The following is a 13,803-nucleotide window of genomic DNA, read 5'->3' as shown; positions in this document are numbered from 1 at the left end:
AGAGCTACCAAGTGAGTGAAGACTTGAGATACCAAGATCCCAAGCAGAACAGAAGTGCAAAGAGGTGATTCTGATATTTAGTACCATTTTTTTCTCTAATGGTACCTATCAATTCTCAATTGGTGGCTGAGTTGCTGAAAACTAAGCGAGCTTCAAGAAGTCTTATGGGCTTAATGGACAAAAAAATAGAGATTGGGGCCCACCAAGCTATCAGTTGGGACCCCTGGAAAGCTACCCTAGAAACAGAGGTAAAATGGAAATAGACCAGCTTTAAATTGTTGCAATCTCTGACAGGTATCAGTTGATTTGCCCCTTTTCTATGTGCCTGCCAGAAGTAAAAGTAAATTCTAAATCCTCTCTGGAAGAAGACAAAAGCATCCAGAGACTCGAATTATCTCTCTATATTTTAATATACAATAGCCAGCATTAAACACAATATTGCCAAGCAAACCAGGAGATAAGAACATTTGACTGAAAACCAGGAAACAGCTGTCCAGAGATACACTATTGGAATTACTAGACATGGACTTTAAAAATAACTTATTATCAATATATTTAAGAAATTAAATTAAAAATTAGGAAATTTTAACTGGAAATTAGAAATTTAAAAAGTAATAAAATGTAAATTCTAAAAATAAATACAATAACTGAAATTAAGAACGAAATAGATAAATGGAATAGCTGGTTAGACACAGCTGAAGAATGATGATTAGTAAAATAAATTTCTGTGGAAATATACAGAAAATGTGACAAAGTGTTTACATGCGATACAAACAAAAGGTCTACATACATACATACATACATATTACTGGGAGCCTAGAAGGAAAGAAGAGAGTATAGAGCAGAAGCAAAATTTGAAGTAACAATGACCAAGGATTCTTTTAATTAAAAAAAGAAAAGACCTCGAGCAAGCACTATGAACCTGATGTAGTGTAATACAAAGAAAACCATATCTGGGAATATTATAGGAAAAGTGCTAATAACAAAAACCAATGTATAAATCTTAAACATGATCAGAAAAAAAATCTTCATAGGAGCAACAATTAGACTGATGGCTAACATCTCAGTAGAGACAAGGACCTAGGAAGCAATAAAGCAACATCTTCAAAATGCTAAGCAAAAATAATTACCTACCTAGAACTCTACACTGAGAAAAAAATCCTTTAAAAAACCATAGTCAAATAAAAATATGTTTAGACAAAAACTGAGAGAATTCATCACCACTAAAGGAAATATTAAAGGAAATTCCTCAAATGGAAAATGATTTCAGATAGGAGCACAAACATGCAAGAAGAAATGAAGAGCAATGGAAAGGAAAAATATGGCTAATTATAAATGAATATTAACTGCATAAAACAGTAATAAAACAGTCTTATGGGATTAGAAACATATAGACACTTAAAATATTTTTCAAATTTGCACATAAGATGGAGAGTAAATGAGTTTAAATGATCTAAGGTCCTTTAATTTTTCTAGAAATTGGTAAAAGTACTAATCAATATCAAACTTTTTAATATGCAAAATACACATGATATGGTAACTGCTAAAATAATATTCCCAATGTACATAACTAGCAAGCAAATCGAGGATAAATATATAGTTTTAAAAATCAATCCAAAAAAAGGCAAGAAAGGAGAGAAAAAGGAACACAGACCACATGGACCAGCTGGGCAAATAGAGAACTAATAACAGGATGGCAGTTATGAAGCTAACTGTATTTGTAAATACATTAAGTAAATGGATTATATACTAGAGGTTTTTTTTTAATAAAGATTTTAACTGGATTTTAAAACCCACAAAACTCATTTATATGCTGTTTATAAGAGTCACCTTAAATTTAAGGACATAGAAAGGTAGAAAGTAAAAGGATAGATGAGAGATATAATAGGCAAATGCTACCCAAAAGAGCTAGTATAGCTCACAAATATGACAAAGAGAAATTTTTCAGAGATGAGAGATATTTCATGATAATATATGTTTCAGTCTACTAGGAAGACATTATTGCTAGGCAGTCTACTAGCAATTCTAAGTTTGTGTGCACTTAATGACAGAGTCTGAAAAACATGTAAAGCAGAACTAAAAAGAGAAAGAGACAAAGTGACAATTATGATGTGGAATTTCTAAATGTACCAGAAATAATTATTTTCATATAATGCCTGTGGATGATTAAACTTTCTGTAAAACAACTTAGCAATATCAATTAAAAGCTTTAAAGTTGCTCATACCCAGTAGGTATGTCCATTTCTAGGATGTTCAGAATGACATTTTTATAAATTTTTAAAATTATAAATAATCTGAAGTCAAATAACTAAGAAACACTGAATAAATAATGGCACATATGATGCATTTGGTGGAATGCTATAAAACAATTTTTTAAATAAATTAAACAATTATTTAAAATTTTAAATTTGAAAAATTATTTAAAAAATAATTTTATCATTATCAAAATTATTACCATACAGCAATTCTGAAAAGTGTATATTTATTTCTAGGAGTCAGGACAAGGTGACTCTGAGTCTGTTTCCTAACAGATAATAGTATAGTTGACACAAACTAAACTTCTTTTTTTTTGAGACACAGTCTCGTGCTGTCGCCCAGGCTGGAGTGCAGTGGCACGATCTCGGCTCACTGCAACCCCCGCCTCCTGGGTTCAAGTGATTCTCCTCCCTCAGCCTCCTCAGTAGCTGGGATTAAAGGGGTGTGCCACCAAGCCCAGCTAATTTTTTTTGTATTTTAGTAGACACATGGTTTCACCATGTTGGCCAAGCTGGTCTCCAACTCCTGACTTCAGATGATCCGCCCGCTTCAGCCTCCCAAAGTGCTGGGATTACAGGCGTGAGCTATCATGCCAGTCTAAACTTCTTATATGACTGTTGCTTAAGGAGAAATAAAACCTAACATCTCTGAATAAATGCAGTAGGTAAAGAACATTGATAGAGGAGAAAATCCTATACAATTAACAGTTATATTCCACTTGTTCTAGAAAACCATTAACAAGAATTTCTAATTAAATATCTCTCACTAGTGTTAGTAACAAGAAGGAAGAAAAATAAAAATATTTTTAAAACAAAAAAATGTGAAATGAGAACATAAATACCTTGTGAGCCAAGTGGAAGAGGAGGCGGTTTTGGAGTCGGCTTTTTGAAGCTGAAAAAAAAATCCAAGCTGCTTATTAAAGAACTCAACAGTCTAGCAGTCCCTTGTAGGAATGAAATGAGACTCGGATGAATCTTCCCAAACCTTACTCATCTGATCCTAATATGTCTCTGCTAGAATACATATTGTTTGAGTCTGGTGTCCACCTGCAGTAGCAGAAACAGCATCAAGAACTAGAAGAGAAAGGTGCTAAGATTCTGTTCTTCTCCACTGCTTGTTCTACCTGATCCTATTATGGTGATCCACCATGCAACACTCCACACACATGGTTGTAGTAGCAGCCCACCTCTGTGTTGTTCATATACCAAACCAAACAGTGGTAAGAGACACCCATGGTCATCTCAATGTGTGTATGAATCTGCTCTCATTCACCTCTTAGTCCCAGTATTCTTTGTTAATTCCTTCTGATATCTCCTTTTCCACAATTATACTGCCATATTTTCCTAAATACTAGCCCAGCCTCTATTCCACAGATTTTCTAGCATAATTATGTGCCATCCTGAAACAGGCAGTCCAGCAAAAATGTTAACAGCTTTTAAGTTCCAAATCTCCTTTGCACTCTTGGAAAACTTTCTGATTCTGGATACCCAATTCTATCTCTTTTACAGAAAAAGTCATACTTCAATGTATAAGAAAAAAAATATGGAAATAGAGATAGCTACCACAATCACCTTATATGTGTCTAACACTGTTCTTAGCACAGATAAAGCCTACAAATATGAGATAAAGTAAGTAACATAAAGGACCTTATAACTAAATTAGGAAAAACTACATTAGTACCTATGAAATAATTTGGGTACAAATCAAGAAAGGCTTTGCTGGGCATGGTGGTGGGCGTGGCTGTAGCCTCAGCTACTCAGGAGGCTGGGGCTGGAGGATGGCTTGAACCCAGGAGTTTGAAGCTATAGCATACGATGCTCACACCTATGAATAGCCACTGTACTCCAGCTTGGACAACACAGTGAGACCCTGTCTTTTTTTTTTTTTTTTCAGAGTCTTGTTCTGTCGCCCAGGTTGGAGTGCAGTGGCGCAATCTCGGCTCACTGCAAGCTCCGCCTCCCGCGTTCACACCATTCTCCTGCCTCAGCCTCCCGAGTAGCTGGGACTACAGGCGCCCGCCACCACGCCTGGCTAATTTTTTTGTATTTTTAGTAGAGACGGGGTTTCACCATGTTAGCCAGGATGGTCTCGATCTCCTGACCTCGTGATCCGCCCACCTCGGCCTCCCAAAGTGCTGGGATTACAGGCATGAGCCACTGCACCCGGCTGACCCTGTCTTTTAAAAAAAAAAAAAAGTCTTCAAGTTCCATGTTTGCCATGAATTTGGGCTGAAATTCTTTATATGTATAAATTAATTTTACCTCAAATACATTCTTCCCTATCAAACATTACAGTGCCCACTTTCTCTGCATTTCCTTGAACTTAATTTGGTTCATACTTTAATTAACTTTTTTTTTTTTTTTTTTTTTTTGAGGTGGAGTTTCACTCTTGTTGCCCAGGCTGGAGTGCAATGGCGCGATCTGGGCTCACTGCAACCTCCGCCTCCCGGGTTCAAGTGATTCTCCTGCCTCAGCCTCCCAAGTAGCTGGGATTACAGGCATGCACCACCTTCTGTATTTTTGTATTTTTAGTAGAGATGGGGTTTCTCCATGTTGGTCAGGCAGGTCTCGAACTCCTGACCTCAGGTGATCTGCCCACCTTGGCCTCCCAAAGTGCTGGGATTACAGGCGTGAGCCACCGCACCCAGCCATCTTTAACTTTTTCTACCATGTTTCCCTTTTATTCTTAAATTTGAGTACAATCGCCCTGAGATGAATATCATATGTAAGAAAGCAGAAGGGATGATTTCTGGATTCTTCAAACTGAAATTGCTGGGTTTCTCACTTAGAAACAGGAAAAGCAGCGATAAAGTCCACAGCCATAAGAGCCTGAATAAAACTATACCTAAATACCACCAACAGCATGCCCATCCTCCCGTGATAGGGCCTAAGAAAGACACCTGGCCCTTTTTCTTCTTTTGTCCTTCTGCTTTTTGGCTGTAGCCTGGTGGGGTGTAGCACTAACTCTCTCTTTAAACATAGTTACTCAAATCCAATATTCTTTGAGGACTAAAGCTATTTTTTTAGCTTTCTAATATCAATTTTTTTTTTCTCAAGAGAAAAAGGAATACAATTAAGTTTTAAAATCTTCAAAACAACTCTTAACTATGAATGAAGAATATCAGATATAAGAGCCCCTTTACCTTTAAATCCAGCTGCTTCAGCTTGTTTATACATCCCAAGAAAGAAGTAGGTGCAAGCTAGGTTCACCCAGACTTCAGAATTACAATTTTCCTCTTTTGTAGCATTTTCGTATTCCTGAAATATATAGTAAGCAGTGATCTCATTTTGGCAGCAAAGCAATTGATGGGCCATTCTTCCACAATGGAATAGGATTTCATACTGAGATTAAGCAACTTCACATTTAGGGAATCCTACATGCTCTGCAATTACTCTATTCTGAAAAGGTTAAATACTGAAGCTAAAGCTCAGTCCTACATCTGCAGGACTATTGTCCATATAATCTTATACTTGTGGTTTTTGTCCCCCAGTTAATACTGATAGGGACTAACAAACAATAGAAACAAAAAGTAACTGAACTATTTTATTTCTGCTAACTTAAAAAGACATACAAGATACCCTTTAAGAAATTCACACGTTCAGTTAACTTAAAATCTGATGGCTTTAATACACTCCAAGTTTCATTTCATTCTAATTGTTTTCTGGCTTTTTTGGCATTGAGGGAGCCTTCAGATTTTTTAAATGTTTTGTTTTTCCTGCCAAGGACACTTTCTAAGACTCACTTTGTTAACGACATTTTCCATACACTCTCACTTTTTATCAGTCTTTCCCAGGTGTCTTTATTTCATTTTCTTACTACAAGTGGGTTGTTCTTTCTATCCTCCTATGCCTTTTACGAATACTAGCATCCTCTATTCTGTCCTTTTCACACCTTCCCTTTTCCTTCACCAACTTTGTTCCTTTGTTCTTCATCTCGCCTCCTCATTAACTGTCCTTGAATATTTTCATTTTAGTTATGAACGTTCTTCAAATTTGCTTAGATTACATCTTGGGAATGAGAATATGTAGGAAATGTGGCTGGGCGCAGTGGCTCACGCCTGTAATCCCAGCACTTTGGGAGGCCGAGGCGGGCGGATCACAAGGTCAGGAGATCGAGACCATCCTGGCCAACATGGTGAAACCCCATCTCTACTAAAACACACAAAAAAATTAGCCGGGCATGGTGGCGCATGTCTGTAGTCCCAGCTACTCAGGAGGCTGAGGCAGGGGAATTGCTTGAACCCGGGAGGCGGAGGTTGCAGTGAGCCGAGATCGTGCCACTGCATTCCAGCCTGGGTGACAGAGCAAGACTCCGTATCAAAAAAAAAAAAAAAAAGTAAATCCATAATCCCATTGATTAATTATTGTAGATGGGTAGGGTTTACAATGACCAAGAAAAACAATTTCCCCAAAACAATTCTACTTGTAAAAATATAAATATAATTGTTCCTTTGTCTAAAAATAACCAAGCAAAGGAAAAGTGAAATTCTCTTGAGAGAAGACTCATGAAAGTTTTTATCAAAATGGCTTAATTTTCCTGTTCTGAAGATTGACTTAATAAATGCTAACACCAATATGTTGTACAATCTCATTGGTATGCATGTAAAAGTAAAACGTACACAAGATACATGTACATATACAGTAGCCCTCCTTTATCCACAGGGGATATGTTTAAAGATCCCTAGTAGATGCCTGAAATCTTGGATAGTACTGAATCCTATATATATTATGTTTTTTTCCTATACTTACACACCTATGATAAAGTTTAATTTATAAGTTAGGCACAATAAGAGATTAACACCAATAATGGATAACAGAACTATAACACTATATGGTAATAAAAGTTATGAGGATGTGGTCTCTTTTGCTCTGTCTCTCTGAAAATATCTTATTATACTGTACTCACCTATTTTTAGACTGAGATTGACCTTGGGTAACTCAGATTGACCTCGGGAAGCAAAATCATAGACAAGGGGGAACTACTGTAATGGGACATATTAACATTAGACGATTACTGAAGCCATAAATTTTTAAAAAGTCACTGGTTACCTTCATTAACAAGTATAATTGAAGAATGCAAATAGGTAACTTCTCTTTGTTTCCTTCTGCATTGTTTGAATTTTACCATGAATATGTATTATTATAATATAAAGTTTAATAACATTTTAAACACAGTTCTGTTAGGAAAAAAACTTTTTTTACACTAACCTCCAGAGCTCTCTTGTAGTCACCCAGGTGAAAGGCACAATATCCAATCCACAAATTAGTATCCTCTTCTTCTTCCCCAACATGACGTTTGAACTTCAGGTTAAAAATGTATTTAAAAAACATGAAAATTTTGAATAGTAAACTCTCTGTTTAAAAAAAAATGCTACGTTGGGTTACTGACAACAGGCAATCTAAGTATTAGAAGCATGACAATATGAGGTTTAATTAAACCTATACCTACAGGACAAGTATCTTCTAATTGTCACAGAAATTTATATTTTCAAGTATTTCATATTTGGCTTTCTGTATTTACTGATATTATACTCCAGAAAGTATTTGAGTTGCCTAACAATTCTGGGTGATATATAAGGAAGAGAATTATGTAAAATATTTAGAGCCAAATAACTGAAGGTTAGAGAGGCTGAACCATGAACTCAAGGCCACACGGCCAGTATGTGTGCTGGCAGGGACTTAAAGAAATGCCTGACTCCAAAGCCCGTGTTGTCACCCTCCGTGCTCTACTGCATTTAACTTCCCACTTGAGTCCTGTTGCATTAACACACGCATATATTTACTAATAGGTTGTAACCTTTCACTGAGAATCTTTCTATTACCCTTGAGCAGGCTAGCTTACCAGGCCTACAAGAGTTAAGGATGTTCAGAAGACTTGGCCTCACTTATGTCCATTGTGAACAAATATTTATGAATTCCTCAGCCAACAAAAGAAAAGCCTTATTTTGGAGGAAAAGACTGAGACCTTGACAGAGAATTCTGAATTTCCGTGGTAAGATAAGATTTTTTTTTTCACTCTACAGGGTGATAAATCAAATAGTGAGCCAACACATATTTATGGAGCATCACTATAGAATTTCAGGTGCCTCAGTCATTACAAGATGAAGACATCCCTTTGATATTTTCTTGTCTGGGCTAAGAATTTACTCCTGTAGCTAACTCTACAACATTAGAAATCCTCCTCATACCAAATGCTATGAATTTGAGTATCATGCCTTAATTCTAGAGAAATTCTCATGTGAGGTCTCCCTGAATTCCCTGGAGCTACAGGAAAGCACATGAGACTTCCTTCCCCAAACCATAGCAGTTTCCATTCCCATGCAGCAGGGTACTCCAACTAACAACCTAAGAATGTGAGCAAAGAGCAGAGCCTCCCTGCCAACTTAAAGGCAGTCTGGCCCTGTAATCCCAGCATTTTGGGAGGCCAGAAGCAGGAGGATCCCTTGAGCCCAGGAGTTCAAGACCAGCCTGGGCAACATGGTGAGACCCCTGTCTCCACACACACACACAAATAGCCAATCAAACGAAAATTAGCCAGGTATAGTGGCACGTGCCTGTAGTCTCAGCTACTTGGGAGGCTGAGGTGGGAGACTCGTGTGAGCCCTGGGAGGTTGAGGCTGCAGTGAGCCACCATCACGCCACTGCATTCCAGGCTGGGTGACAGAATGAGACCCTGTCTCAAAAATAAAATAAAATAAAGGCAACCTGGTGTTATGCAACAAGGAAAATGTGGTCATTGTCTTAGAGAAAAAAGAGGAAAACAGACTGATGAAAATAGATATATACATAGCACTCAGTCCACTGATTCACAGAACTAGAAGGTTCTTCCATGCCAACTCCCCCACTGTAAAGATGAGAAAGCTGATGCCCAAAAAGCTAAAAAACACGCTCAACACCAGAGTACTTAGTAAGAAGGCAAACTAGGCCGGGCGCGGTGGCCCACACCTGTAATCCCAGCACTTTGGGAGGCCGAGGCAGGTGGATCACCTGAGGCCAGGAGTTGGAGACCAGCCTGGCCAACATGGTGAAACCCCATCTCTACTAAAAATACAAAATATTAGCCAGGTATGGTGGCAGGCACTTCTAATCCCAGCTACTCAGGAGGCTGAGGCAGGAGAATTGCTTGAACCAGGGAGGTGCAGGTTGCAGTGAGCTGAGATTGCGCCATTGCACTCTAGCCTGGGTGACAAGAGTGAAACTCCAACTCAAAAAAAGAAAAAAGAAAAAAAAAAGAAAGTGAACTATTTGTGGAAGATGGAGAAATATATGTAAACCTAATTATAACAATTATTAAGGGTAGATTCAGAGTAATATGGACAGAGTAGCATTTTAAGAGAAATGAGTGTGGTACAACACAACCAGACCATGCTGTCAGAACTCTTCATTCTTTGGTGCAACCCTTCACCCTCCTATAACATGTGTTTCCCACAAAGCAGTTTTTTAAAGCACAGTCTCCTGGGACCATCTCCATCAGAAGCACTTAGACTACTCACCTTAAAATGCAGATTCCTGAGCACCTCTGCAGACTTACAGCAGGAGCCCAGGAATCGATATCTTATTAAGTACCCTAGGTAATTCCAATGTATATTAAAAGGTGAGAACTACTGCCATGGAGATTTGAAATATTTTCTGGGGCTATATTTTCAACCGTAAGCATGTTAGAATTATTTAAGTTTGATCAAAATTTTAGAACACATAATAGGAAAAAATCATACATTGGTCAAGGGTTGGGATAAGCAATGTGTGAAATGACATTGTATAAAAGGTCCCTTCATATTTTTAGATTGTAATCACTGTTGGTGAACTAGACATACTCAAAAGTGGCCCTCAAGAAATAAGTTTTGTTTTGTTTTTTTTTTTTTTTTTTTTTGAGACGGAGTCTCGCCTTGTAGCCAGGCTGGAGTGCAGTGGCATGATCTTGGCTCACTGCAACCTCCGCCTCCCGGGTTCAAGCGATTCTCCAGCCTCAGCCTCCCGAGTAGCTGGGACTACAGACACGTGCCACCATGCCCAGCTAATTTTTGTATTTTCAATAGAGACGGGGTTTCACCATGTTGGCCAGGATGGTCTCGATCTCTTGACCTTGTGATCTGCCCGTCTCGGCCTCCCGAAGTGCTGGAATTACAGGCATGAGCCACCGCGCCCGGCCAAGTTTAGTTTTTTAGTTCGTTTTTTATCAGGTTTATAGCTAACTTGGAATCTGGAATCTGTGCCTGACTAGATTTACAGGGGATTTGTACAGGAAGCCCCAGAATGCACCCACCTATTTCAAGAGCATAGCAAACAGCATTCACCCAAGCATTCATCTACAGTCTGGTATTCATACACTAAGAAGCAACGTTCTTTGGGCATTACCTCCAACAGGGTAATAGCTCCAGTGAAATCTCTTTTTGAAAGTAGCTCCTCTAGTTTTGGAATCTTCCTACCTTTCTTCTTTCTTTTGTCAGTGTGCTGTACGCCTCTGCCTACAGCAGGTTTGGCCCTTGAAAGCATCTGTAAAAGAAACAAAGACAGCTGTATGGTCCAATTCTGATTATCAGATTTAAACTGAGAGTGACAGCTCTGTAATTTATAAGTCAAGGCCGGGCACAGTGGCTCATGCCTGTAATCCCAGCACTTTGAGAGGCGAAGGCGGCGGATCACGAGGTCAGGAGTTGGAGACCAGCCTGGTCAATATGGTGACACCGCATCTCTACTAAAAATACAAAAATTAGCCGGGCGTGGTGGCATGCGCCTGTAGTCCCAGCTACTCGGGAGGCTGAGGCAGAAGAAACGCTTGAACCTAGAGGCAGAGGTTGCAGTGAGCCAAGATCGCGCCACTGCACTCCAACCTGGGCGACAAAGCGAGCCTCCATCTCAAAAAAAAAAAAAAAATTATAAGTCAAATCCTTAACAACGAACCCCAGGGAAGCCTATTCAAACTCGTTTTGTAACAGGTATTCTACTAGAAGAGCCATCAGCCAATACTTAGGAAGGACCAAACAGCTACTCCCAACTTTTATCTTCTCTGGCTAGAGATGCTTTCGCATTGCTTCTGTCATCTCAGCTTTCCCTTCCTCTGCTTCCCATCCCACGAGTGGTTTAAATGTGAGTAAACGGAAAAGCAGGAGGGAAGAAAGCACCGAGGTATTTACAGTTGCATCCCTGTCCCCCGTGGGAACACAGGGAGAGCTGGGGATTACTCTCTGCGGACACACCTAGACTTCACACAGAAGTGTGCTGGGAACCTCTAATCGCCAGCCTCAGGACCTACTCAAAGTACTCCCTTACTATTCAGAGCCACTAACCATCTTGACGTCGGTCTTGTGAGTCCCCACCACACAGCGAAGGCCGCGCCTCAGCGTTTCGCCGCATCCACACAGCACGTTCTGTCTCCACGGTAACCCCGCCTGGACGCTGGTACGAACGGGAGAAAAGCTCGTTGGAGAACCAGCGCCCGCGGCTTCTTGGTTCCGTGCAGCTTCTGCCGCGGAAGAGCCGAGGTTCCTCTTGGGAGGAGAGCGTCGTTCTCTGGGCTGAGAGCGAAAGTTTGGTTGTCTCTATTTATGAGTTTACTTTAGGAAAAGGCGAATTGGAATGGCATTGTTTTTCAAATGCAAGTTTTCTGGGAAAGAAATTTTCAGGGACCACTTCTGTTTGGGGCCGTGTTGGACTCCATAGCAACCCTTGACTATGTGCACCGCAGAATCTTGGTCTCTGGCTGGTGCGGGAAGCTTAGAAAATTTCTGCTGAAGGAGTTGTAGTTCTGTGATTTGGAAGCAGGAGTGCACCAAAATACAGTTTCCTATTTCCACAGATACACCTACACACAATAGAGAACTGTAATAAATATTTGTCGATTGGATGACTTAATTTATCTATCTTACTCCTGAACCCAGTTAATACAGGGGCAACCACAGTCTTTAAATTCACGAAATCGTGGAATGTTAGAGTTGGAAGGGACCTTACAGGACCTCTGGTCAACCCCTCAGAATTAACAGACTGAAGAACTAACATCTTGTTAGTTAACTAATGTCAGCCTAAAATAACCAAAAAGCTCAGGGATCCAGTTGAAAGAGTTTATTCAAGTGCAAAGTGTGAGGGCGGCTATCCCGGGAACCACTGACAGCAAAGAATGGTGATCAGTGCTCCCTGATGCAGGGAAAGGTGAGGGTCATTTATATCACCAAAAACAGGAGTGCTGTACGTAATTACAGCATTTTCTAGATGAGGCTAACGTACACAGAAGATTCAATTCACTACTATTGATTACACTGTAAGGGGGTTGTTTAATATTCTATTGTAAAGAGGTAACAATCACAAGGGTCTCTATCTCCAACGTCATTTAGTCTGAATAAAGAATAAAAAATCTGGTTAATATATAACATCAACACAAAGATCAGGAAGCAACAGTCATGCACCAGAGAAGAAAAACAGCCATGTTCTGTGATTTAGTTTACAGGGCTTAACTTTTCCCCTTGGCATAGTACGTTTGGAAAGTGCTGAAATTTTCTTTTCACATTTTCCCCTTTTCTTCAAAAGCTTTCAGAGAAAGCATTATAGAAGAATTATATTCTCAGGCCGTGTATTTGATCAAACCTCATGTCACTAGGAAGGCCCCTTCCTGGCAGTCACATCCCAGGGAGGAGGGGAAATTGGAAAGGACCAAGTCCGAATTATAAAGCAACAAGAGAAAGTAGTTCTGGAACCTGATTCAGGCTACACGGCTGCCTCTTCAATCAAACAATTCTCTGAGTAGTCTTTGTTCTACACATTTTCTCAGCTGTGTGTTGACCCAATTGCAGATAAATACCATAACAGCTCTGCAGACAAAGGCAAGACAAAACACAAACTATGATAATTCCTAAAATACATAACAGCTTTTGCCACCAAGTTCCCCAAGATCCAAATCAATTACTTAACCAGTAGCTTAGAGAGGGTTTTGGATCCGAAAGGTTAATTATTAGAGTTTTTCAAATCAGTTATTAATTTGGTGACGTTATTTGATTCATCTGGGATATAAACACAGCATTCAGTTTCTGTCATAGCACAGATTCCTCCTTGGGCTGCAGTGAGTATGTCTAAGACCATACAGTTTTGTAATACAGTCTTCTCATGACAGTAACTTCATTATTTAATAATGAGACATTCATGTGGCTGTTATTTAGGGCCTTTTGTGTGTAATTGGTTAGGGCCTGTACATGGCAAATGACATCTTCAATACACAGTTGTGGTACAAAGACAGAAGTGAATCTAAGTGGCTTCTGGAAGGTAAGCACTTTCTATTTCTTCTGTTAAAGACACTATTGCGTAAACCTTTACAGTAAGTTCCAGATTCATCCTTTAAATAACATGCGTCTGTAAACCAAACAACATTAGCCTAAGTAAGAAAAGTCTCTTGCAGATCAGTCCTAGGAGAAAACAAGTTTATCAGTTAGAGTTATGCAATTGTGTGGTGTTTCATCTGAAAGTGAAGGAAGAAGAGTTGCAATATTTAGCTTGTTACATCTAGAGATGGTGACATGAGAAGCTAAAAGAAGTGAAACTTTCTATGAAGTTAGTCTACTCA

General features: G+C 39.3%; 1 protein-coding gene across 9 annotated transcripts in view, besides 2 other annotated features; it reads right to left on the bottom strand.

The window, feature by feature from the left end:
- Nucleotides 1–11,625, bottom strand: part of IFT56 (intraflagellar transport 56) — a 58,209-nt gene extending 46,584 nt beyond the window's left edge. For 7 of the 9 annotated variants that reach the window (NM_001318333.2, NM_001321740.2, NM_024926.4 and 4 more), the window contains exons 1-5: nucleotides 11,543–11,625; nucleotides 10,611–10,748; nucleotides 7,464–7,556; nucleotides 5,399–5,513; nucleotides 3,098–3,147 (exon numbers count right to left, since the gene is read on the bottom strand). Coding sequence is in view for 8 of the 9 variants with exons in the window: in NM_001321740.2 (NP_001308669.1) it covers nucleotides 3,098–3,147; nucleotides 5,399–5,513; nucleotides 7,464–7,556; nucleotides 10,611–10,748; nucleotides 11,543–11,545 (399 nt within the window). In the remaining variant the exon portion in view is untranslated. The remainder of the gene's footprint in view (nucleotides 1–3,097; nucleotides 3,148–5,398; nucleotides 5,514–7,463; nucleotides 7,557–10,610; nucleotides 10,749–11,542) is intronic. The other 2 variants (NM_001287513.2, NM_001144923.3) reach the window with 2 other exon arrangements.
- Nucleotides 11,506–11,800: an enhancer, noted in NCBI's record as "tiled region #8039; HepG2 Activating DNase unmatched - State 1:Tss, and K562 Activating DNase unmatched - State 1:Tss". NCBI's record gives its function as "activates a minimal TATA promoter and a strong SV40 promoter by Sharpr-MPRA in HepG2 and K562 cells {active_cell/tissue: HepG2 | K562}" and the evidence as "EXISTENCE:reporter gene assay evidence [ECO:0000049][PMID:27701403]".
- Nucleotides 11,609–11,788: an enhancer, noted in NCBI's record as "active region_26752". NCBI's record gives its function as "activates an Ori minimal core promoter by ATAC-STARR-seq in GM12878 lymphoblastoid cells {active_cell/tissue: GM12878}" and the evidence as "EXISTENCE:reporter gene assay evidence [ECO:0000049][PMID:35858748]".

This window comes from Homo sapiens, chromosome 7 (genome assembly GCF_000001405.40).
Source record: "Homo sapiens chromosome 7, GRCh38.p14 Primary Assembly".
In the NCBI taxonomy this organism is placed as follows: Eukaryota; Metazoa; Chordata; class Mammalia; order Primates; family Hominidae; genus Homo; species Homo sapiens.
The sequence above is the reverse complement of the archived record's forward strand: the minus strand, read 5'-3'. Positions and strand labels throughout refer to the sequence as shown.